The following is a 26,171-nucleotide window of genomic DNA, read 5'->3' on the forward strand; positions in this document are numbered from 1 at the left end:
AGCCACTGTTAGTAGGTATCAGACCAAGAACTGGAATCCAGGTCAATCTGATACCAAAGTCCACATTCTTCCTCTGGACCACAATGCCAGCAAGCACAGGACAGGTGGCATTTTTCTCTCCTGCCGGAAAGAAACTGAGACTTCAAAGAACATGAATAATAAGCCAAAGAGGTGATGCATTCTGGGAGAAAGAGCACTGCATTAAGAATAAGAAACCCTGAGCTCTAGAATCACGTCTTCTCTTAAGCTTCCATAAGCCATACACGCCTAGAGATCATAAACTGAGTTTTATTTACTCATGGCAGTGTGATCTTGAGCAAGTCACTAAAACTTTCTGGGTTTCAGACTTGTCATCTGTAAAATAAGATACTTGGAGGAGGCAATCTCTTAGCTCCCTCTGAGCTTTCATCTTGATTAGTTCCAAACCAAGAATTGGAGAATGTTCTTCCCTTTGTGCCTTTAGTTTTATGCACATGATGTGCTTCAAGTTCATCATACTCAGCACAGAACACTTCCAATTTCCTATTAATTTCCTTTCATTTTTCTTAGATTCCTTAGTTTTCCCCAGAGTGAAGGGCATACAGCAATACAAGAAGCAAGAAAGCTCACTTCTGCCTCTCACTCAAATTCTCATGAGGATGGGGCCAAGCCACACTTGTACCACTGCGTCAGCGACAGGACGGCACTGGGGAGGGACCATTGGTCCAGTTCCTGCAGCTCAGCTAGTCACCTCTGACCAAGCACAGCAGTTACCATGGCAACCATTGCACTGTGCTCCGTGGAGGCCATGGGTTGCAACTGCAGATGCCACCACCAGCAGACACAGGCTCTTCTCCACTCCCAGCCCACTCTGACTCAGCGGCACTGTCCACACACCCCAGGAGCAGGCTACCAAAAGCAATCAGTTAGAGTGAGATCAAAAGTAGATCCCAGTGGGAAACTTCTATTCCCATATCTCTATCATACCCATAATAAGCATTGCACACACAGCAGAGACTTCTTTCAGATGATGGAATAGAACCCGCTGATGCTTCTCAGCCCACCTTATGGCAAACATATCCACCCAAAAGAGAAAATTATTAAAATATCAGCATTTCCTCATTGAGCTGTGAATTAAAAAGTATCCTCTTTGCAGTCTGAGGATGTGGGTCTAAGCTCTGAAGATTCTGCCTGTGTCTTTATGGTGTATACAAATTACCTGGAGATCTTGTTAAAATGCAGATTCTGGTTCAGAAATCTTGGGTAGGGCCCGAGAGTCTGATTTCTTACATCAGGGGATGCTGATGCCCTGGTCCATGCTACTGAAAGCTTTGAGTAGCAAAGCCTTAGATCACACTAGCTCCTACTGCACATAAAGCTGACCTTGCCCAATCTCTGCCATTTATCATTTCAAAAAGGAATCAGAGTAAATATTAGCTGGTTCAAAGCACACATTTCTACAGGGCAGGGACTACATCTGCTTGGAAAAAACATAATAGCTACAATTTATTGAGGGCTTGCTCTTTGCCAGCGCATGTGTGCACATGCGTATATGCCTCATGCAACAGCCTTTGAAACACAGCTGCTACTTAATCAAAATTTAAAGATGAGGGAACTGAGGCTCAGATCTATGCCATGACTTACCTAAAGTCAGACTCTCAGTGAGTACTCAAGCTGGGATTCAAACCTGCCTTTCTCCAAACCCATGTGCCTTTCTCTCCCCACGAGCTTCTCTGTGTATCTACAGAGCACACAAGGGGTCTCGCCGCACACTGCTTCCTAAGAGCAGTGGTCTTGTCGTGAGTTTCTGTGTTCCCCCATTGCCACCGCTTCAGGGAAAGACATTGGAAAAAAAATTAGGAAAATCCCCATATTCACCTTTGGTCAGCCTCACAGCTATTACCTCAGCAATTAGGGTTTTCATGCATTGGACAAAGATTTATTGTTTCCCATGCACAAATCATGTGGGGATTAGAAGAAGCAAAGGACATAGCCTCTGCCTTCCTCATTCTAGCTCCTGTTGCTGATTTTCGATCTCCTCTTATCTCAGTCTCAAGGAGGCTCACAATTTCTTCCCTGTGGAGGCCAGACTCTGCCATCACCAGACTGGTGTCACCTCTTGTTGCAGGCTGAGAAGGCTGGCTACTGGGGCTGAACTTCAAAGGTGTCCCCAGTGGAGACAGACATCCTGGGACTAAAGTGATGGAATAACGAGGGTTTGTGGCAGGCCAATCTGACCTGGGAGAGAAAGTCCCGGCTCTGGAGTCAGACATTTGGCTCAAATGTTAATTCCAGTACTCACTAGAAGTGTGGCCTTAGAAAAATTATTTAACCTCTCTCAGCATGAGAGGTTTTTTGTTCTATTTTTCATCTTAATGTTGGGGTTACTAACACCCACTTCAAAGATTTTATTGTACTACTCTGCCAGTTTTGTAATCCCAAGCACATGATGGGGCACTCAGTGAGGACTAGTTTCCTTCCTTCTGCTAGTGCACTGGGCATGGTGTAAAAGTGAGAAGCTCAGGGTGAATCAAGGAGCAATAGAAAAGACAGAGCTGAGGAAGAAGTGACATCTGGTGCTTTTTTTTTTTTTTTTTTTTGAGACACAGTCTCACTCTGTCGCCCACGCTGGAGTACAGTGGCACGATCTTGGCTCACTGCAACCTCCGCTCCCATGTTCAAGTGATTCTCCTGCCTCAGCCTCCTGAGTAGCTGGGATTATAGGCATGCACCACCACACCCAGCTAATTTTTGCATCTTTAGCAGAGACGGGGTTTCACCTTGTTGGCCAGGCTGGTCTTGAAAACTCCTGATCTCAGGTGATCCATCCCCCATGGCCTCCCAAAGTGCTGGGATTACAGGCATGAGCCAACATGCCCTACCCCATCTGGTGCTTCTTACGAGAGCAAGCAGACTAGACTGGGAAGGATCAGAGGAAGGGATGGACAGACAAGTAGACAGCAATCACACGACCAAAACCACACTTGACAACCAGGAAGCAAAACAAGGAAGCAAGACAGAGCCAGCCAGATCCAACAATGGGATTCTTCCTGGAAGTGAGTTGTTTCCACAAGGTTATTGGAACTATATTTTCCCCCTTCCTCCCTCCCTTCCTCTCTTTTTTTCTTCCTCCCTCCCTTCCTAGCTCCCTCCCTCCTTTCCTTCTTTCCTTCCTTCCTTCCTCTTACCATTTACATACTCAATCTCCTTGAAAAGTCCCAACCTGGTATGGTGTCTGTTATGGCCACTATTATGACTTACTCTTACTAAAACAGCAACTTAAGCTCTTGACTAGTGTTCACCATAGACTACTGCCAGTTCCTGCCATCTGTAGTCCTGTTCAGCTGCAAGCACTGAGGTTCTTTGGTCTTCATGAAAGTTCAGCCCAGCAGCCCCATGCCAGCTATTTCAAACTAACAAAGGGCCTTTCTACCCAGGTTTATTGTTCAAGCACTGAGAAGTGACTGACAGCCAGAGTGATTCCTTGTCTCCCTCTCCCAGCCAGTCCCAAATTTCTCTGCATCCTCATCGGTCTGCCCCTTGTATCCTAACACAGAGTTCCATATGATGACAACCAAGTTGGGCATCCCAACAAGTATCTGCCTATTAGTTGGGACTATGGAAAATGGGAAGTAGAGGAGGGAAGGGGGGAATTTCACGCCAAGGCATGATCTTTTCTTGTTCTTGCTAAGCTTTACAATGCATTTTCACTTGGTTTTTGGACAATCTAATATTCAAGACAAATCTACCACTCTTGCTCTATCACAGCCTTCTGTTCCCACATCAGTATTTTTCAGTATTACTCAAATGCGGGACATCTCAGACTTTAATGTGTATACAAATTTCACGTGAGGCTTTTTAATATGAACATTTTGACTCCATAGACCTAGTGTACACCCAAGATTTTCCACGTCTAACAAGCTCCCTGGAAATGTTCGTGTGGCTGGTCTAAAGGCTGTATTGTAAGTGTCAGGACTCTAAAGGGGGAAAAGTATGAATAAAATGGGACATATTCTATTCCCGAATCGCCTGTGTCCTCAACTAAAGGGAATTCCACCGGATTCTATATTATTGTCTTGTTGCGAGTCCATTTCCACACAAGAAACATCTCCTTCTGTCATCTTCTACCGACATATCAGAGTGGTGCCAAATCCTGCCACACCCAAGCGGAACAACCCGGGAAGTTTCCTCCCCTGTCTGTTATGATGGTCATAAAAGCTTAGAGATGAGAAAGAGGAGGGTCACCTTCCAGCATCTGCATTTCTTTATCAGGAGCCTCAGAGCCAATTCTGACATTTATAACCTTCAAATCATGGTGATGGGATGGACCTTGGAGACCATCTTAGAAATCTAGTCTTGTAGTTTTTTAACATTGTTTTAGTTGTAGAATCCTTTCTTCCAATGCAAGCATACGTGAAGTTAAAAATAAAAGGAAATAAAGAGGAGGAGCTCTCAGGCTGAAGAAAGAGAACCTTTCAGATGCTGAGCCCTCTTAACAGAAATTGAAGGACTGTCCCGTGTCTCGTATCTTGATAGTTGCATTAGCAGGATAAGAACACAGATGCTTCTGCTGCCTTCACCTTGATTTCCACTATTCCCATTCACTTAGGGGCGCAGGCTGATGTAATGGAAGAGAACACGGGCTTTATGGCCAGATAGATATGGATTTAAATCATGTCTTTACCGCTTATGGTCTATATGACCTTGGATAAATTACTTATTCTCTTTGCACTCTGTTTTCTCATAAGTAAACTAGAAATAATTCCTAGATTATTGGGTTGTTGAGATGAGACGTGAACTTAAAATTCCTATGTTATAAAGTCAAGCAAGCATCAAGAAACTCAAAATTGGTGTTTCTGATTGATGGTCCACATATAAATATACCCAGCCAAAAAAATTATTTCCATTTTGGAGAAGTTTCAATCACCTCAGTCCCACTCATGCTAAGGAAAACCCAACCCTCAGATACAGTATAGGCTGTTGTACATTATCTTACCACTTTCCGACTTTACTCATTTTCTCAAGCCCAGGGACCAAGATGATGAAGAAAGCCACATTCTGCCCCCATAAGACATGTTTGACAGCCATAGGGGACCCTTTAAGCATGGATGGAAGGATGCTAAGAGCACACACCGAAGATAAATCCAGGCCACACTCTCACCCTAAACACCTTGGAGTGCTACAAAGAAGGGGTCAGTGACACCCCTAATAAAAGCCAAGTCCAGGGACAGCTAGCTGGAAGGGGATTTCTGAAACAGAGAAGTGGGTGGTTTCTGCAAGGCATCTGCCAACTACAGCCAGGAGCAACATACTGAAGAGAAATTACATTATTGCTGTGCTCTTTGTGCTTTATAAAAATTTTATTGAAATGTTTGTACACTTTGTCCAAGCACACTTTCGAGGAGAGGCTCCAATATAAAGGAATTGGGGGATTGATGACAGGTACCCACTACACCCTTATGTCATGCATGGCTTACATGTACGGTAACTGCAAGTGCCATAGAAACACAAAATAGAGAAGGGCCAAACCCTGATTCCTAGATATTGAAGATGGGAGGTGAATGTGCTGTCAGGGAAGAGCAGACCATCTGCTGGGTAATCGGTCATTTTCCATTATCAGCTAACAACCCACAGGTGATGCAACACTGTTTCCCCACATGCCTGAGGTCAGAACTAAGACCTTAGGAGCTGCTGGGGGTGTCTATTGGAAGATGCGGATTCCAGCATGCATGCCCCTGCAGAACTACTGAGTCAAGACCTGAGACAGGTAGCCAGGAACCTGCAATTCAAACAAACTTGCAAGGAATTACTATGTCAAAGCAGAGGCATTTGAAATCTACTTTGCTGAGGGGGTAATGACCACTTACTCTTTAGTGAACATTAGTTTGACATGATTACTTTTGCTTTCATTTGGGTACCTGGATGTTTCTGGGGAAAACTGGCTGGGGCGAGTTGTGACAAGGATCACCCTGGACTTTTGGTAGCCAGAGAACCTCTGGAGGTGGGAGAAGGTGAAGAGGTGAGAGTGGAAGAGAGGCCAAGGCCCACCATGAGAAACCTCCAGATACAGAGCCTCCATCATTTCTCCCTCTGTCAGATGTTGCCCCGCCAAGGAAATCATGCCTGCTGCTTCCCTCTTCTGATGCCCCCCACCCCGTCCCTCCCTCTTTCTCCCCGTGGATATCAGGTGCCCTCTTAACTTTGTAAAACTCCCAACCGCTTAACATGCAGACTGAGGGAGTCAATTCAATTCTTCATGTTTTGTTAGGTGCTGGGATTTATCTTTTCCTCTGTGACAGTGTCCCTCCTCCTGGAGTCCGCATGGAGAACGCACCTCTTCTTCACTAGGTATTTCTCACGCCTGGACTGTCCTCCTGCCTGGACCCCCACATCATTCTACATCAGTGGAGCTTAACGTTGGCTGCACACCTGAATCCTCTACAGAGTTTTTTAAAACTGATGACTCCTGGATCCCAACTCCAGAGGTTCTGATTTAATTGGCCAGGGGTGTGCCCTGGACACTGGCATTTTTCAAAACTCCACAGATGATTCTAATATGCAGCCAAAGAGTCACTCCTCTAGACCCATAACTGCTGCACTGCAAAGAAATTTATAGGACCAGTGCTTCTCAACACTGACTACACACTAGAATCACCAGGGAAGCTTTAAAAATTACAAGCCCTGGGCTCCACCCCAGACCAAATAAATTGGAATCGCCAGAGGTACCAACCATGTGTCAGTAGCTTTCAAAGCCTCCCAGGTGATTGTAACATGCAGCCAGGATTGAAAACCACTGCTACAGACCAAAGGTGTGGCCAGAAGCAATCACAGATGGAAGAATTACCGAGTGTCGCCCTGTGGGTGAAAGCAAAGGAATAAGGAAAATATTCTCCACTTACACGGCTGCTACAATGAGAGTGTTTTGTTTTGTCTTTTTTTTTCAGGCTCTGATTCAGCTTCATCTATTTGCCTACCTTTTCCAGCTGTTAGTTGGTCACCTGCCTGCCAATATTTGTGCATAGGCTCTAGGAGTTTACAGTCAGTAAAGTATCCCACCTGCAGACTTAAACAGGGCTATTATCTGGCACAAAGTTGGAGTGATTGCTTCTGTATTGCAAAATGATTTTATCTGCTGGTCTTTCCCTCTATCAGTCTGAGAGAGAAAGAAGAACCCAGAAAAGGAGCAACTTAACAAGCCTGGCTGTGGGAATTTGAGGTTTCTGAACATCCACTGCCTACTGTTAGGCTTTCCCTAACATTTGAGATTATTACTAACAACTTTTCTCCAGATACGTATTTTTTAACCATAGATTTTTAGGACTGTATTTTTGAAATATCTTATACTACTTTATTACCTGTTTATCATATGAACCAAGAAGAGATGTTTAGGGGGAAACATTTCGCACTAAAATCCAATTGAGTAATGTTATCACTCAAGGCTATACAACAAGGCTAAAGAAAAGCCAGAGTCATTCAAATGGTCTATAATTTTTCAATTTCCAAATTCACTGCTTATCTCTGTTGTTCTCATATTTATTTTTGTGCACATTTCCTGGTGAAAACACAAGACAGCTCAGTCTTCGTTTATTAAAACACTAGGATTTATAGATTTTGTAATCTCCCTTAATTTCCCTTTATCTGCACTCTTTTTATTGCCTGATGTTCACTTTACCACATAATCAGTCCCTTTCCATAGGTTAGAAGATAAAGGAGGGAAAAGGGAGTTTCTGGAACTCAGTCCCTTTTCTATAGAGTGACCATTCTGATGAAGTCTCAGTGTTGGAAGAGTAGAAAACATTGATTAAGGCCAGGTGCGGTGGCTCACACCTGTAATCGCAGCACTTTGGGAGGCCAAGGCAGGCAGATCACCTGAGCTCAGAAGTTTCAGACCACCCTGGGCAACATGGTGAAACCCTGTCTCTACTAAAACACAAAAAATTAGCTGGGCATGGTGCACGCCTGTAGTCCCAGCTATTTGGAAGCCTGAGGCATGAGAATCGCTTGAGCCCTGGAGGCAGAGGTTGCAGTGAGCCTAGATCACACCATTGCACTCCAGCTTGGGCTACAGAGTGAGACCCTGTCTTATAAAAAAAATAAAAAGAGAAAGAAATATTGATTAAGTTAGTTTGGAGAATTATCTTAGAATATAATATACTTAGTTCCAAGTTATGTTAGTATATTATAGACACTTGTTAGTGTCCTTCATCAAATCCATCCCTCTTTTTCACTAGCAGCACGTTAATTTTCCGTCGGGCAATATACCCTTCCACTTTTCTTCAGTCAGGTGCAGAATAGCTGAGTCTAAACGAAGAATGACACAAACAAGCCATACTTGCAGGAAGCAGTCTGTCATTGAGATATGGTGAAGGAGACAGATTGTAAACATACCTACGCTTGCCAAAGTATGTTAAGTGAGAAGAAAGGAGTAAAAGAACTGTCTTTTACACAATACCCTGTGGAATAAGAATAATTTCTGACAGCCATTATTCTGGTCTCTCCACATTAGCAACTTCTTACAAATGGCTGTGAGCAATAGTAAAAATTAATCAGCATAGAAACTATACAAAAATATTATAATAGCAAAGAAGGAGAAAATCAGAAAAATAGAAAATATAAGGGAAAAATTGCTCAAGACCAAAGTTTTTTAAATTCTCAAAGTTTTTGATTTAATTTTCTAAGTATAAAATTTTATAAAAATATGTTTGAATGTTTCAAAACTCACTGACAGTGAATGCAAAGTTTTTAAGACATCTATTCTAAGAAACTCTTCCACCCAGTAGAACAGTTTTATCTGCTCCGGCAGTACACTAAATTCTTGGTGCAACCTCAGAGGAAGAAGAAAGTTATCATATATAAATTTCAGAATACCATCAATGGAAATATCTGATTTAAAATGCTTCTTTCTTCCTGTAGCGGGATTGGTAACTTATATTTTCCATAATAGAAAAACAAATTGTGAATTTTCATACTGATTGATGTTTCTTTTCCTTTTTCTCAAAGAAGAAAGGGAGTTATAAGAGAATTGAAAACCAGTAGAGAATGGCATCTGTTAGTAATCCGTGTACAATGCAGTTCAACACATAATTCCTTAAATTGTTCACGTCCATCTGATCTGCAATGCTGCTAATATGACCAGACCTCAAATGCAGCTAACTCCAAAGTGAGCATGAGGTTAGCATAAGAGGAACCAGGCTAGGGTAACACTACTCCTAGATTAAGCAGTGACTAATCACATTTACAAATCAAGAAGAAAAAAAGGAGTTGATCCCTAAATGCTGTTTTCATCAAAATCTTGCTTTTATGTATTATTATTAAACCCAATCCTTAGAAATATTGCTGCCTCATAGAACTTTATTTCTGCAAATAAGGTCTGGAAAATTCTTGGGTATGAGAGCGGTGAGCTTGAATAGATAGCTGAGACAGGAATCTCAGCATCCCTAATTACAGGTTCTATTATTTAGCCAGTGAATAAACCAATTCAAATCATTTCAACAAACATTTATTGAGATTATGCAATATGAAGAGATCTGATTTTACAAAGCTAAATATACAATAATGGTGAATACTATTCTCTGTTAAGAATAATAGAGACATAATTTCTCTATTAATAGAGAATATAACAATATTAGAGAACATAAAAATACTATTCTCTATTAATAGAGAAATTATTATAATAATATAAATAATATATTTTATCTATTAATAATTCTCTAATAATGTTATTATCTATGATTAATAATTAGAGAATATATTAGTAAATAAAACAATATCATTATTCTATATTAATAGAGAAATTATTATAACTTTTTTCTATCAATAATTTTCTTTTATAATATTATTCTGTATTAAAAATAATAGATATATAATTTCTCCTTCCCTTCCTATCTCTCCCTCTCCTTTAAAAATCTTTTCTGGGTTCATTTGAGTATCTTTACTCCTTTTATATGGACTCATATCCCAATGACTCATTAGAGTCTCTTGAATCCAGAGAACATTTTTAAAGGAGAGGGAGAGAGAGGAAGGGAGGGATAAATATTTCAGTTTTTGCTAAATAACACTAACTGTACTTAGTCAGCTCTGCTATAATGCAACATATGGATTCCTAAATATCACTGCACCACACAAAATCACGCAACAAAAACCATAGGGCTTATAGAGAAAATGAGGTTAAGGACATAACACTCAAAAACTTTGTCAGTGACATGTTTCACAAAGTTAAGAAATATGAATCTAAAACAAAACAGTAGTGCATATGTTAAATAGTTAAGAAATCATATATAGTACAGTAAACGTGGCATTTTACCTTGAGAAGATCTGAAGTTTGCTTGCGGAAGTGGGCATCACAGGGTTGCTGCTTGAGATTGCGAAGTGACAGAAGAAAGGTTACTTGCATAGGAGGGAAGTCAGGACAGCACTCACCACGTGCATGAGTGTGCACGGCTGTGGCCTCACACATTTGGCGAACTTGGGGAGCTGGCAGATATTTAAAGTGTGTGTGCTTTGTGTTGCCTACAAGGCTTGGTTGAGCTGGGTGCAGCTTTCTGGATTCACCTAGTGTCTCTCACTGACAAAACTGCGCAGAAGCCAACACAAAATTCACATTGTGTTCAAGTTGTTCCCTAACATATCAGTCGTGCTGGAACAAATTCAGTTTCCAAATAAGCATTATAGCAGAACTGACTTAAAATATATATATTCATATTCTAGTCTTTTGCAAAACAGTGTTCTTCCTCATCCACAAAGTATATTTGATTATTTTTGCCTAAGCAATTCAAAAAAATACTCCAAAACTTTGTATTTTAAAATAAGAACAGTAATCACACTACTTGCTAAAACTGGTGATAGTCCCAACCCCAGCTGCAGGTTCAGCATTCCACCTGCCTCGTCAAGCTCCAAGGCAACGTGACTGAAAGCTGACCTGTGGATCTAGGAGCTGGGGCCCTCAGCCCCCACCCAACAGAGGTTTCTTTTTGTCTCTGGCAATGAGTGCTGCTGATACCCAGCTACCTTGTAGACCACTTCTGGCTTCAATAGCATCGCATATTGAGGGTGGGTGCTGAACAAAGACAGCATCCTGCAATTCATCTTTAGTTCATCCTCTTGTCACTTTTCCTTGCACAGCCTTAGGACAAAAATCATCCTTTGCCTTTATGTATCAGTTTAATATAGGCCATCTCATATTCGATATGTGGTGGGCATTTTGGCACAACACGCAGTTAAAGCAGTCCCTTTAATATTTATGTAAAAACCTAAGTTTCCTCTACTCCCTTAATTATTTACCCGAGTAAGTACACATTAAGGCTCAGGCTAATGGGTGGTATGTTTTCTTATATGGACTCATATCCCAGTGAGGCATTATGACTGTCTGGTTGCAGTGATTCCTCAGGGCACTGTGGATAAGTCTATTCTCTATAGAACTGAAGCTTTCCTGGGTTATATCAGAAAGAAAAACAAATGGGAGTACCCAAAGCATCGTGGCTATAGAATTTTCTGCACACAGTTCTTTCCCAAAGGACACAGGCCACCCAATGGATGGTACACAGAACAAACACCATGTTGACATTGAAACCAATGGCATCTGCCTTGAGAAAACTCCACCAACTTCTCTTTAAATGTTTTGGCTTAATTTCACTTGGCTGTACATAAATTATTCTATGGGGCTTAATTCCTACAAAAGAGAATATAATCCAAGCTTCTGCTATAAATGCAGCTAGAATTGCATTCCGGTGCCAAGCAGCAGGGAGAGAAATCAAACAGTTGGCCCCTAGTGAATTAATCTATATGCCCCAGTTTCCTAACACTGAGCATGCCTCAGACAATAGGCTGGGTTTTAACTCTTTCTCATCAAGCCTTCATCATAAGCAGCCAGATTGCATTCCTCTTCTCATTTCTCACCCCATTACTCACAAAGAATATCTTTTCCCATGAAACCTGAGCTAACATACTCGGCAACCAACGCTAGAGTTTGCAGTAAAAAGTCAAGTCTCACCGTCAGAAGCACATTAGCATACAAAATATTTCTATAGGAAGAAAAAAAATCTGTGGATTGCAGAAGCTGCACACTCCATTGTCTTAAATGTTGCCGTTCTCGGTCAGAACGTTCACTCACCTCTACTTTGAGATAATACGTGTTCAGATCGTGGTAACCTTTTATAGCAATTGTAGGCCCTGTGTAGGAAGGAAATGTTAAAACTACATCCAATTAGATTCTACAGAAATTGGGGGAGGTCTTTTAGACAGAAATCAAGACAAAGAGGTCAAAATAATTACTGTGCACTTTGCAAGGACTGTTCGTTTCTGTGAACCTCACTTAGTAAAGCATAAAGGCAACACTAGCCCATACTATGATGTTATGAAGAAAACTGCAAAGGAATCCAAACGAAAGGAAGCAGGAGTCATTTCACAACATCCTGAATTTATCGCACCCCGCCCAGCGGTCAGTAAGGCAGGCAAATGAACAGTTAAAAGGTTCCACTGAACCATAATCCCCAATCGTTATACTTAAATGGTTCCTCTCAATATAAAGGAGGCTCTTCAATAACCATAGATCTAATTTCTGTTAATTTTATGTAACTCTAACAGAGTCATTAACATTCGTGGAGCCCACTCCACATGTAGCCCCTCCCTCCCCTCCTCCCCTCATTTCTCCTACGGCATATCTCTTGAAAATTTAATTATTACCAGTAGAATTCCTGCACTAACTAAAGGCTTTTGCAATCAAATCAATAGTTGATGAAAGAGTGGTCCAAAAAAGCCATGTTAAATGCATTATCTTCCTTCCATTTCCACATCAGCCGTGTGGCTCCTTTCATGATGTTACAATTGGAGACCCTCAAAATAACATCACTTTCAGGGAGTTAAAATGTCTAAGTGTTATCCAGAGATCGCTATTATATATTTATAAGGACTCCCCTATATGCCTCTTCTGGATTTATTAAGTGCTCTAAGGATCTGTTTGGCTTATACCAACTACCACACACTGATCTGAGAAATCAAGGAGGAAATACTCAAGTGCTTAACCGGACAGAAAGGGAAATGTGTGTGGGTCTCATGACTGCTACAAGGAGCAAGGCCAATTTTATGTGTTACTTAGAAATGGAAATAAGTCATCTCCCCGCCCTCACCCTACTCTTACACCCCCCCAGCGTCTGCTCTAATGGAAGAGCCCAAATGCTGTGCAGTCTCTCTTTGTGCTTTTCCACCTATGAAGAGTCTCCAGCACAAAATAACATGCCTTTGGGGAGAAAGAGATGCTTCGGTGTTGTGTCCTTTGCTGCTATCAGTGGAATGGGCTTTGGTGCTTTAATTAGGCAACTGTTGTTGCATCAGAGATGGTTCTGTAAAGCAAACATCTTATCCAGGCCATGTGCAGTGTACCTCAAGGCATTTTGCTATATTCCCAGTATACGAGCATTTTTTAAACATCTGACACACACATATTTATAAATGGCTACCTGGTTCTCCAGCAGGGTGGGCAGGGAGAATTGCAGACTGTGCAATGCATGATTGCACTGTGTACATTACTAGACTACTACAGACTAGGCTGGAGAGGTGCATTTAGATAAATTCTCTGGATAAACAACCAGAGTACTCTCTTAAAGGGCTGACAGGCTGAATAAATAAGCGGGAATCCTAATATATAGGACCAGGTGTGCAAACACAGTTCAGTTCCTCTCATCTAACCAATATGGGATGCAGCATCACATTATCTAGAAAATTCAGCCTGCCACTATTTTCCTGCTAAATTGTGCAGATAATTACTTCACTCTTCCATTTCACTTTGACTTAGAAATCTAGTCACAGGATAATAACAGGTCATACAGGGCAGAAGCTCATTTGCTTATTTAAAATGCTCGTCTATCAACAACCAATTCCCATGTGCTTTGTACTGCCCTCAGGACGTTTTATTCTAAAGGAAGTAAAAACTCGGACTCTTAAAAAAAAAATCAGTGGACATGAACAATGATCCTTTAAGAACAGGATTCAATGAGAAAGAATACAATGCTGTGGGAACAGAGAAGCCAGAGCCCCAGGAAGGCTTAATGGCACACAGAGGCTTGCCACGGCCTCTGGCAGACCCCTGACCTTCACATCATCCATAGAGAATGAAATGGGCATACATCACAGAGTAAATGCATAAGGCTGCTGCCAGCCAGTGGTAGCCAGAAACATCAGACTCCCATAACAGACCTGGTGGCCCCAAGGGTGGAGGGAATCACTATCTCATGACCCCTGGTAACCCACTCAAAGTCCTCCAGTTGGGACACTCTGCTTTCAAACAAGCATAAGTTGAGATTTAATTAAGCAGAGAGAAGGATATGAGAAATCAGAAGAAACTGTGGTATGAACTAATGCATCATTCTTTGAAAAGCAGCTATAGCTTTTGCTAAGATAAATGTAACCAAGAAACAAAGCCTCAAAAAGTAGTGTGGTTCAATGATTAGGTGCCCAGGTTTTAGAAAGTTCTGGGTTTTAGACTCTGCCCTGCTATCAAATAGAAGCATGCCCCTGGGCAAATTATTTAACTTCTCCAAGAAAAGGAGGGGTTTCCTAGTCCCTACCTATTACTATAATTGTTCCCACAGACCTATGTTGTGATGAATTAATGAGATCATGTGAATAAAGCGCTTTGCACAGAGCCTGGCATATGGAATGTTCCACAAATGCCAGCAATGATATTAGTAATATAAGTATTGCTAGTTATGTTGCTAAGTGTTGTCTGAAGCTGGAACTCAGCAGCTTAGGAGGGAGGATAGTATGACTTTTAAAAACTAGGGATATGCAAACATGTTATGTATTTGCTGGTGCAGAAAAAAAAAGAAAAAAGAAACAATTATTTCAGAGGCAGAAGTTCTGGTCGAATCAGAGAACAAGGAATGTTTTTGACAGCTGTCTAGGGCCAATTAGGACTTCTGTTTCAGATGACACATTCAAATGCTTATCTGTGAAGTAGCCCCATTTTCTATTCTACACCCCCTCACCGCTTCTGTACATTCACTTTTGCAGATGCATGGATAAACAGATACAACATTTACTGCAATTGCCAAAGAAGCTGCCCATCACTGTCACGCCAGCTGCACAGTCTTCACTGAGGGAGCTTCCAAGTGCCATTTTATTAATGTGGAGAGAAGAATAACAGATCATAAATGTTTGAGGTCTATCCAGCCGGAGTACAGGGGATTATCTATTATCCTGTGTGAGTTAAACCTAAGTCAAAGTTAGTTATGGAATTTGAGATGATGCTGAATTTCCCTGAAACCTAAGAGAACATAATTTGTAGCCTCGTCAGTTGTGACGTATAAATACATATGATCTCCAAAGAAGAACATAAATGATAAATTATCAGTACCTACAGGGCACCATGTACTAAGTAAGCAATCAATTTAGATTGGCAATATAGAGCACCTTCCTCTTTGCAGTATATATTCATACAAAATTTCTCAGAAAGAAAAAAAGATTTGCAATTGCAAGATGTCATTAGTTGTACATTTTGTCTTATTATTTAGAAATAGACATTTCAACGCCTACAGTGAAATGTCCATATAAAACACATTTATAAAGTACTTCATTTACCTGTTACTTGACATCTATTTATCACTCTCAACTTCCCCATCACCCAGTGAAAACTGCAAGAGCAACTTTAACTCCATTCTATAGATGAAGAAACTGAACCTAAAGAAATTAAGTAATTAACCGTAGACCATGTGATTTGAAAAGCTGAGAGCCAGCACTCAAAGATCCAAGCCCTAGATCTAAGATAAAGATCCTAGGTCTTTCAACTATTGTCCACTCCTCATTATCCGTTTACCTCATCATATATTGTCCTATTATGGAGGCATTGTTTCAGGGACAGGAACAGTCAAGGCTGAGGATGAATGAGTACAACTGTCCCCACATGGCAGTACAAGTCAAGAAATGTCAGTACAAGTCAAGAAAACACATAAGGCAGAAGCTTCAGGAGTGCACAGGCACAACGCCAGCCTGTCGGGTGGACTGGCTCTATCTATTGGTTTTGAAGAGGAGGGTGGAATATGAGCCCTGAGGAGCCAAAAATGACAGGGACAGAGTCTGGGATTTATCCCAGAAGCAATTGAGAGCCATCAAATGATTTTTAGCTGAGGAATGATATAATTCAATATGTGTTCCAAAAAGATAAGGTTGGCAAGGGTTGGAGCCTGGACTTCAGGCACTGGAAGCCCTGGCAGAGGAGCTGGGGGCTGAAAGAGGAATAGAACAGCCCCTTGGGAATGGTGTGTTACAACTCAGGGTTAGCTTTGGCTTGGGTGGTTCTAGAACATGGACAAATAACTCCTACTGAACTGTGAATTCTTTGCAGGAGCTCGTGTTTTATTCATCTTCGTGTTCCCGTGAATTATACAGTGCAAAAACTGCTTAGAAGGCTTCCCCTCCTAGACAGCCCAACAGCACCTCAACCTCAGCCGGAATGAAACTGAATGTGTTACTGCGCACCCAAACAGAGCTTCTCTTCCTGCTTTCTCTCTCCTGGTAAATGTGGCACTGCCATTCCAAATCTGGCATGCATCCTAAGATCCTTTCTCTCCCTTATCCCCATCTCCCATTCAACTGGTTTCTATATAATGCTACCTCTCCTAATGTCTCTCACACCTATATCCTCTTCACTTTCTGTGGGGTTTGACCAGAAGCTCCTAATCAAATCTTGTCCGCAAACCTACCCTTTTTTGGTCTACCTTCAACATTCCTATCAGAGGCATCATTATAAAACAAAAACATGATTATGTCACTGACCTGCTTAAAACCCTTCTTTGGCCCACCATTGCCTAGAGTTCTCTTGAGTTCAAGCTCAGCATCATCCCAAACCTGCAAAGCCCCACCATGAACTGGCCTCTCATCTCCAGCCAGTCATCTCCAAGCATGGAAGCTGTAGTCAAATGACCTGCCAAGCATGCGCACTGAGTCTAGGAGACTTCACTTTCACCCTGCACTTTGGTCCCACCCACACTCATTATCTTCCTGGAGATCTCCAAATCATCCCACCTCTACCATCCCCTCTTCTAAGAAAGCTTCTCTCACACAGTCACCATCCTTTGCCAGGGCCCCAGGGCAGAAGTCATCTGTCCCTCTTTTTATGAAACTATTCTATCTTTGTTTACCACCATAAGAATTCTTGACCAGGCGCAGTGGCTCACACCTGTAATCCCAGCACTTTGAGAGGCCAAGGCAGGAAGATCCCCTGAGGTCAGAAGTTCGAGACCAGCCTGGCCAACATGGCAAAATCCCATCTCTACTAAAGGTACAAAAATTAGCTGGGTGTGGTGGTGGGCACCTGTAATCCCAGCTACTCAGCAGGGTGAGGCAGGAGAATCGCTTGAACCCAGAAGGCAGAGGTTGCAGTGAGCCAAGGTCACACCACTGCACTCCAGCCTGGGCAACAAGAGTGAGACTCCATCTCAAAAAAGAAAAGAAAAGAAAAAGAGTTCTTATCCCATTGTATTAAAGGCAAATATTTGTATACTACTTAAGGGCAGGGCTGTTGCCTAATTCAATTCTCTCTTCAGCACCCAAGACTTTATACATAATAGGCACTCTTTAAACATTTACATAAATTATACATATTTTAAACACAAAATGATTGAATTTTAAAATGTGTTTCCAACTTAAGGGCAGGGATGTTGCCTAATTCAATTCTCTCTTCAGTACCCCAGACTTTATACATAATAGGCACTCTTTAAACATTTACATAAGTTAGAGTATACATATTTTAAACACAAAATGATTGAATTTTAAAATGTGTGTCCAGCCTGGACAACAAAGTGAGACTCCATCTCTACAAAAACAAAAACAAAAAAAAAAACACTTTTAATTAGACAGGTGCAGTGGAACGTGTCTGTAGTTCCTACTCGAGAGGCTGAGGCAGGAGGATCACCTGAGCCCAACCTGGGTGACAGAGTAAGACTCCATCTTAAAATACATATATATATTTTAAATGTGTCAATGCTGGAAGATTTTTGCTTCTCTATTCTCAACTGCATGAGTACAGTAACTCTACTTATAGAATCTGACAACTGGCATTTGAAAGACATATAAATACATATATACCAATATATAGGGGCATGTGTATGTGTCCCAGAAACTTACAATCAATTTCATTATGGCATGGTTACACTTTACACACAAAAAGTAGGTTGGCACTTGACAGGTGTATGTGGATATACATGATGAGATTTAAAGAGCCCAAGATGAAGATATAAGTCTCAACGTTCCTTTAAATGAGATTAAAATAATTTTTCCTCACTTTAGTTTTATTTCTCTTTTGTATATCAAAACTTTTGCCTATAGAAATTTCTTGAAATCAGAAGTTTAAAGACTTCTTTGGTCAATGATTGGTGAATGGGTTAAAGTGCTCTACAGCATTTGGCTTACCAACCTGGATGCCTAGCTTACCAACATTGATTCCATTTGTTGAAGCTGTTGGACAACTAATGGCTATTAAGTCTATCACGATGACCTTCAAAGTCTTTTATTTTTTCCCCTTAAAGCTTCAAACTGGAAATTTTTGTGAGCTACTTTGAGATATTCTAAATAAAATACAATTATAATTAGATAGCTTGTCTTGAATAATACAATGCCTGGCATGGCAGAGATATTTGTTATTGTTAAATACCTCTTCCTTACTTGATTTGACAATCCCTGAGCACAGGAAGTAAGTCTTATTAACAGTGCAGCCTCCATAGAGTCAACCGCTTTGCTCAATGTTTGTTTAAGAAGTGGGTGCTCACAGGCATTCAAAATTGGGCAAGACAGGCACATTCTTCAAACGCTATTTGTGTTGGTTTCATTACCTTAAAAATTGAGTTCATTGGTCTCCATAGGTACCAGTCATTATTAAATTGAGCACCCTATTTGACTATTACAGGTACAAATCAAGTACACAGGCATGAATGCTAGTTTCCATCTGGCGCTACCGACCCAAATGTGAAATCTGAGGAATTGTCTAAGGAGAAATCAGCCTCAAAATCAGGGAATAGAAACAGTGATCCATAAATGCTGTTTCTCCATCTGCAACAGTGATAAGTCACAAACAAGTAAAGTGAGGCGTATTATCACTGTTAACTGTCTCAGATCACCATCTGCAAAAAGAGCACAACAGAATGGAAATAGCTTTTATAAAGTATTCGATACAATTTAAACATCTCATGATATGCAGTGGGGCACTCCAAGATGTGCCAGATGCTATTAAATACAGCTTGCTGTATGAGAAAATCATGCAAAATACATTTGCCAATTGAATTATATTGCAGGGCATAAAGGGCCGAGTACATAAACAAATCCCCATTACCTTGGTCTGTGGGCATTTTTCCTTGTAACTTTTGGATATATAACAAGAGAAATAAGAATAACTGTAATGCTTTTATTTTTATTATCATACTTTAAGTTTTAGGGTACATGTGCACAATGTGCAGGTTAGTTACATATGTACACATGTGCCACACTGGTGTGCTGCACCCATTAACTCGTCATTTAGCATTAGGTGTATCTCCTAATGCTATCCCTCCCCCTCCCCCCACCCCACAACAGTCCCCAGAGTGTGATGTTCCCCTTCCTGTGTCCATGTGTTCTCATTGTTCAATTCCCACCTATGAGTGAGAATATGCGGTGTTTGGTTTTTTTGTCCTTGCGATAGTTTACTGAGAATGATGATTTCCAATTTCATCCATGTCCCTACAAAGGACATGAACTCATCATTTTTTATGGCTGCATAGTATTCCATGGTGTATACATGCCACATTTTCTTAATCCAGTCTATCATTGTTGGACATTTGGGTTGGTTCCAAGTATTTGCTATTGTGAATAGTGCCACAATAAACATACGTGTGCATGTGTCTTTATAGCAGCATGATTTATAGTCATTTGGGTATATACCCAGTAATGGGATGGCTGGGTCAAATGGTATTTCTACTTCTAGATCCCTGAGGAATCGCCACACTGACTTCCACAATGGTTGAACTAGTTTACAGTCCCACCAACAGTGTAAAAGTGTTCCAATTTCTCCACATCCTCTCCAGCACCTGTTGTTTCCTGACTTTTCAATGATTGCCATTCTAACTGGTGTGACATGGTCTCTCATTGTGGTTTTGATTTGCATTTCTCTGATGGCCAGTGATGGTGAGCATTTTTTCATGTGTTTTTTGGCTGCATAAATGTCTTCTTTTGAGAAGTGTCTGTTCATGTCCTTCGCCCACTTTTTGATGGGGTTGTTTTCTTTTTTTCTTGTAAATTTGTTTGAGTTCATTGTAGATTCTGGATATTAGCCCTTTGTCACATGAGTAGGTTGCGAAAATTTTCTCCCATTTTAATGCTTTTATTTTTTAGCTAACAATATGCTTTCAAAGCATCCACCATTATAGCACAAAACACATCATAGCATGTACCCATTTCTCACTTAATAAGAACAAGATTTACTATTTACATTGCTATCGTTTTTGCTTAATACTGTAGCCTTGGGAATTGTTTGCCAAGGAGCCACCATGGGAAAGATGCACAGTCACAAAAATAATTATAGGTATCCAGTCATTTGTTAAAACTATTTTTTAAATAACAAACGTTGTATAAATGCAGGATATTTTTCTTAACCTTAATGTAGCAATGAACATCTGTAAACCTTTTTATATTTTGCAGAGAATTTTCACTTTTCCATATTATCTTCTGAATTAGGATTTTACCCATAAGATAGGTAAGGCAAGTATTACTTAGTAGATAAACATGAGAAACTAAGGTTTCCAGGGATGAAGTGATTTACCCAAGGATGCCAAGGAACAAGACTTCACACAGGAGAGCTCCAGGTCAAACGTCCCCTCCACACCCTATGTCCGTTCACTCCCCTAGGACCTCCTCAGGAGGGGCTGCCTGGAAGAGGAAGCTTGGGCTGGACAGGATCTCCTAGGTCCCCAGGCTCTGAGGATACAACTCTTTTATGTATCACTTATGCCCTGAAGCATGTTTAGGGTTAAGAATGCAGAGTGAGAAATTCACGTGCTGAAATGCTAAGTACTGCGGGGAAGGTAAAGTCCAGGATGGAGCATCCTGAGCTAAGACCAAGTGTAGGAGCAGGAACATGAACCAGTTCACCAACATCAGGGTTCACCTATCCTCAGGACTCACTTCCATGCTTCCCTCTCAGCAGCGGTCTAGTCTTCCAGCTGTCATACAACTGACCATCAGCCCCATCTCATGGAGAAACGTTTTGCTCAATCCCCTGTGGATCAAATAAAAATGGTTTGCTTCAAGTAGAGTTGGAAACTAACTCACAAAGCTGTAGGCATTTTTTTGTCATGGTAGATGGATGGAAGGTTATTTTTCAAAGTTGCAGACATTTATGCATAAGGATTAGCCTGACTAAGATTCTTGCTCACAGACACAGAGAGTGGAACAAAAAGAGTCATCCAAAGGGAGCAGGCCTTTGGTGACATACCAAACACTGAGGAACTGACCAGAGCCCAGCCCGTGAGAAATATTTATTTTATTCATACATCATAAGTCGTCTTTTTTTGTGGATAGGAAACTGGCACAGAAACCAGTTAGAAGGAGAAGAAATACTGAGTATGCAGCAGAATGACAGCAGCAAAGATGCCATGTTGAAGAGATGGGATTGCCAGGGCAATGAGACGTAGAAACATCAATTATAACATCACGTGTAGAACCAGATAGGACCATTAGCAAAGGTGGGGATGTCAGATTGGTGAGATTGTGGGTTCAGGGGTGAGGAAGGGAGTGGAATACGCCCTTCTTGAGGGGACCCATCATGGGCATGTTAATGGGCATCAAGGCTGCACTGCTGAGATGGTAGTGTGAGATGACCAGGAAGAAAGTGTGCTGGTGCTAGTGATACTCAGAGTGAGTTTCAAAGCCTGGGGATAGGGGAGACCGGCTGGACAACACCGAGAGCAGTAGAAAAGACGATCGAGGCCGGGCCCGGTGGCTCACACCTGTAATCTCAGCACTTTGGGAAGCCAACGTGGGTGGATCAGCTGAGGTCAGGAGTTTGAGACCAGCCTGACCAACATGGTGAAACCCCTTCTCTACTAAAAATACAAAATTAGCTGGGTGTGATGGCGCATGCTTGTAATCCCAGCTACTCAGGAGACTGAGGCAAGGGAATCACTTGAACCGGGGAGGCCGAGGGTGCAGTGAGCTGAGATCACACCATTGCACTCCAGCCTGGGCAACAGAGCGAGATTCCATCTCAAAAAAAAAAAAAAAAAAAAAAAAGAAAGGAAAAGAAAAGATGATCGAGATGCTTAAGCACCTGACTCCAAGGTCAGAATGCCTAGGTTTGAATCCTAGCTCTGACATTTGCTAGCCCTATAAACTTAGTCAATCATTTAACCTCTCTGTCCCTCAATAGCCTCATTGGCAACATGGAACTAATAGCAGCCTCTGCTACACAGGGTGTGGCCATCGCTGACTATGTTCATATACGGAAAGCATGGAGAATAGTGTCTAGTGAATATTTAGTGCTACAGAAAGGCGTATTAGTGAAAATAATAGTGGCAATGATAAAAATATGAATGGATGTTTACATTTGGGGAGGAAGAGGAAAGGAAAAGAATAAAGCAGCAGCAAAAGGCAACCTAGGGGAAACCAAAAAGGGGAGAACTTACCAATGACTCCTCATGTAAATAAAATGCTAAGAGGGTTTTAGGCTGGAGAGGTTAATTAACAATATTAAAGGCTAGAGAAAGGGCCAGGGAAATCATACCTGAGAAAATATTCCTAGATTTGGGAGGTTGGAGGCCATTGATGACCTTAAGGAAAGCAGTTACCATAGACAATGGCAAGCAGCAGCCAATGTTTAAGTGAGGGGAACAGGGTAAGAAACAAGAAGTGCAGGCTATTCATTCAAGAATTTTAAAGGGGAAAAAGGAGGGGGAATAAGAGAGTTGCCAATGGGACTGCGGCATATAAAGTAGACTTGTTTTAAGGCTGGGAAATCTTAATATATCAAAAGAGAGAAGAGGCCCACAGAAAGAAAGAGAATAAGGCAACGAGTTAAAAGTAGAGAAAACTAATGAGGCTGGATGTGTGAGGAGGCAGCAGGAATTCAACCATGGCACAGGGAGGGGAGTGTCGAAGAGGGAAGGGCCGTGCCTGTCCTCGGAAAAGAGAAGGAAGGGACAGGAGAACATGCAGATAAATACTGAGGTGGAGCGGGGACAGTGAGGGGGCTGAATTTAAATGGAAATGTTCTTCCCATTAAAGTGAAGTCCATTTTCCAGGGATGCTTGAGGGTTATTGGGTTGAGAATTTGAGAAAAAAAATAATTTAAAGAAAAAAAAAACACTCCTGGTTTCTGTATGATGTGTTACACGAATGCCTAGGAGACTCAATTACCACATTTTTGTGACCATCTTCGGCAGCTCTTGGTCACATGGAAGCTAGACGCAAAGTCCAAGATTGGCAAATCCAGAGCACAGGTGTTCCAGGACACTAAGAAGAGTACAGCTGAGATACCTGACCAGGCTAGGCAGGGGAACTGTGAAGCCAGGAGGGACTGTAAGGACCAGAAGAGCAGAGACAGCACCATACTTAAGGTTTTGTTAAGAATAAAAAATACAAAAAAAAAGTATGTAGGAAGTAAAGTATTAGGAGGGTGGTTATGGCTGGGAAGAAAGGCAGGGGCGGGACCACAGAACTAGAGACACTAGAAGTCGAGAGCCACCTATTAGGGATGATCGCTTGACTTTGGGGATGAGCTAGAGGGTCATTTCACAAGGACGGGTCCCCAGATGCCCTTGGCCAACCCAGCTCTCCCCTGCTCCTAATTCTCAACTGTAGGATGTGCTGGGAATGCAACCTCTCGAGATAAGAAGGAATGGTCTAGAACAGCCCAGGCTCTGTTCCCATTCCTCTCATAATAGTGATATAGGAGTTAAGAAGAAATTACTTAGGCAGATAGTGAGGGTACAGGAGTAAGGTTTTTCCTTTTTAATGAAAAGCCGCCCCCAAATCATTTTCTAACAAAGAGCAGCCTGTAAAATTGAGCTGCAGACATAGACAAGCAAGCTGGAAGCTTGCACAGGTGAATGCCCACAGGAAAAATGCTACCTGGGACTAGACATGTTCAAAATGGCAGCTCCATCTTCCCTCCTCTTTGCCAGCCACGTGTACAGTAAGGAGCAGACGAGATTGCGCCAGTCAGGTGGAAAGCCCATTTGCATAATAAGATTAGGGTGGGGTGGCCAGCCATCCCTGCACGCTATGTAAACGTCACACCTGATCGAACCAATCTGTGAGCCCTACCTAAATCAAACACTGCCTACTCAAGCCTGCCTATAAAATCCAGAGAACTCCACCAGCCGCTCTTTCCTTTTGGAAGCCCCTCTTTCCTTTTGGAAGCCCCTCTCTCTCACTAGAGAGAGAACGGTTCTCCTTTCTCTTTCTTTTGCCTATTAACGTCCTCTCCTAAATTCCTCATGTGTGTCCGTGTCCTAAATTTTTTTGGCGCTAGACGACGAAGCCCGGGCACTTACCCCAGACAACATCACCACTTCAATAGAATGTACAGGCCCCGCAATCCCAATCTTCCCCAGGATGTAGAAACCCAGAGCAGAGTGCTTTGGGGGTCCCCTGGCGGTGGTAGGATGTAGGGCATGCACAGACAAATCCCATCCGCCACACGCAGCTTTCCCTTTACCTTGGGAGATGCGCTTGCCAGGAATCCTAGGCTTCTTTTGTGTCTTGTTTGTCTGTATTACAGTTGCTCCACTTAATTTGTTGTGCATGTGTTCCATCTTACCAGACTGGTGCAAGTGTTGGAAACTTCAGATTGGTAACTGGTGCACACCAAGCCTGCTTCACAGTAGTGGGTGCCAAGGAGCTGCTAGGCCTATCCTGTTTCATCCGAGAGGAAAACCTCACTAATCCTTTTCCTATTTCTAACTTTTTTCTTGCTTCAGTCCAGAGACCAAAATTAAAATGTAAAAGGTAGGATTCTACAAGACAAATGCTGTTTTTTGTTTCTTTGTTATCATTTTTATTATTATTGTCATTATTGTTATCCTATAACTTGTCATTTTCAAGACAACCTTTGGAGAGAAGGGGAAAAAAACACATGGGCTCTGATCCCATCTCAAACTGGAACCACACTTTTTGATTCTCAGTGTAGAGCTCATTAGTGCTGCCTGGGTTACTTCCATCAGCAAAAACAACTCTGGTCTAGGACTTCCTAAAATAACAGAGGCCAGAAACTCTTTTCCTGAGCTTGCCAAACTTGTGCGTTTCCATGACTTTGAAAATACCTGTGCTTTAGCCTGGAACACTCTTCCTACTACTCTTGCCTACTTAAAAAATTCTAACTTATCCCTCAAGTCTCAGATGAAGAAGTACTTGTTCTATGCAGCTCCCACGGATTCACTCAGACAGCAAGTACCACAGAGTCAGTATTTTTCAAAATAATGCCTGAGAGTTCCTTAGATCAGTGAGTCATGTCCTTCCCTGCACACCAGCTACCACCAAAGCCAAGCCAATAAAGCTTGGCTCTCCATCTGAGTCCATTTTGCTTTTGTATTTTGCTATAACAGCATATCACAGACCAGGTATTCTGTGTAAACACAAATGGTAGCAATTCTAGCAAAATACAAATGCTTAGTCCATTTGTATTTTGCTATAACAGAATACCACAGACTGAATCATTTATGAACCAAAGAAGTTCATTTGGCTCACAGTTCTGGACGCTAGGAAGTTTAAGATTGAGGGGTCGGAGGAGGAGCCAAGATGGCCGAATAGGAACAGCTCTGGTCTACAGCTCCCAGCATGAGCGACGCAGAAGACGGGTGATTTCTGCATTTCCATCTGAGGTACCGGGTTCATCTCACTAGGGAGTGCCAGACAGTGGGCGCAGGCCAGTGGGTGCGCGCACCGGGCACGAGCCGAAGCAGGGCGAGGCATTGCCTCACCTGGGAAGCGCAAGGGGTCAGGGAGTTCCCTTTCCGAGTCAAAGAAAGGGGTGACGGACGCACCTGGAAAATTGGGTCACTCCCACCCGAAGATTGCGCTTTTCAGACCGGCTTAAAAAACGGCGCAGCAGGAGACTATATCCCACACCTGGCTCAGAGGGTCCTACGCCCACGGAATCTCGCTGATTGCTAGCACAGCAGTCTGAGATCAAACTGCAAGGCAGCAACGAGGCTGGGGGAGGGGCGCCCGCCATTGCC

General features: G+C 42.0%; 1 long non-coding RNA gene across 3 annotated transcripts in view; it reads left to right on the forward strand.

Moving 5' to 3' along the window:
* LOC105378071 (uncharacterized) overlaps window positions 1-26,171 on the forward strand; it is a 59,237-nt gene that overhangs the window by 24,609 nt on the left and 8,457 nt on the right. For 2 of the 3 annotated variants that reach the window (XR_943139.3, XR_943136.3), the window contains 3 exons: window positions 14,986-15,175; window positions 16,316-16,485; window positions 17,121-17,251. This is a non-coding gene — a long non-coding RNA (uncharacterized LOC105378071). Of the gene's footprint in view, window positions 1-14,985; window positions 15,176-16,315; window positions 16,486-17,120; window positions 17,252-26,171 lie in introns of those variants that run through there. The other variant, XR_943140.3, reaches the window with a different exon arrangement.

Source organism: Homo sapiens, chromosome 6 (assembly GCF_000001405.40).
Source record: "Homo sapiens chromosome 6, GRCh38.p14 Primary Assembly".
NCBI lineage: Eukaryota > Metazoa > Chordata > Mammalia > Primates > Hominidae > Homo > Homo sapiens.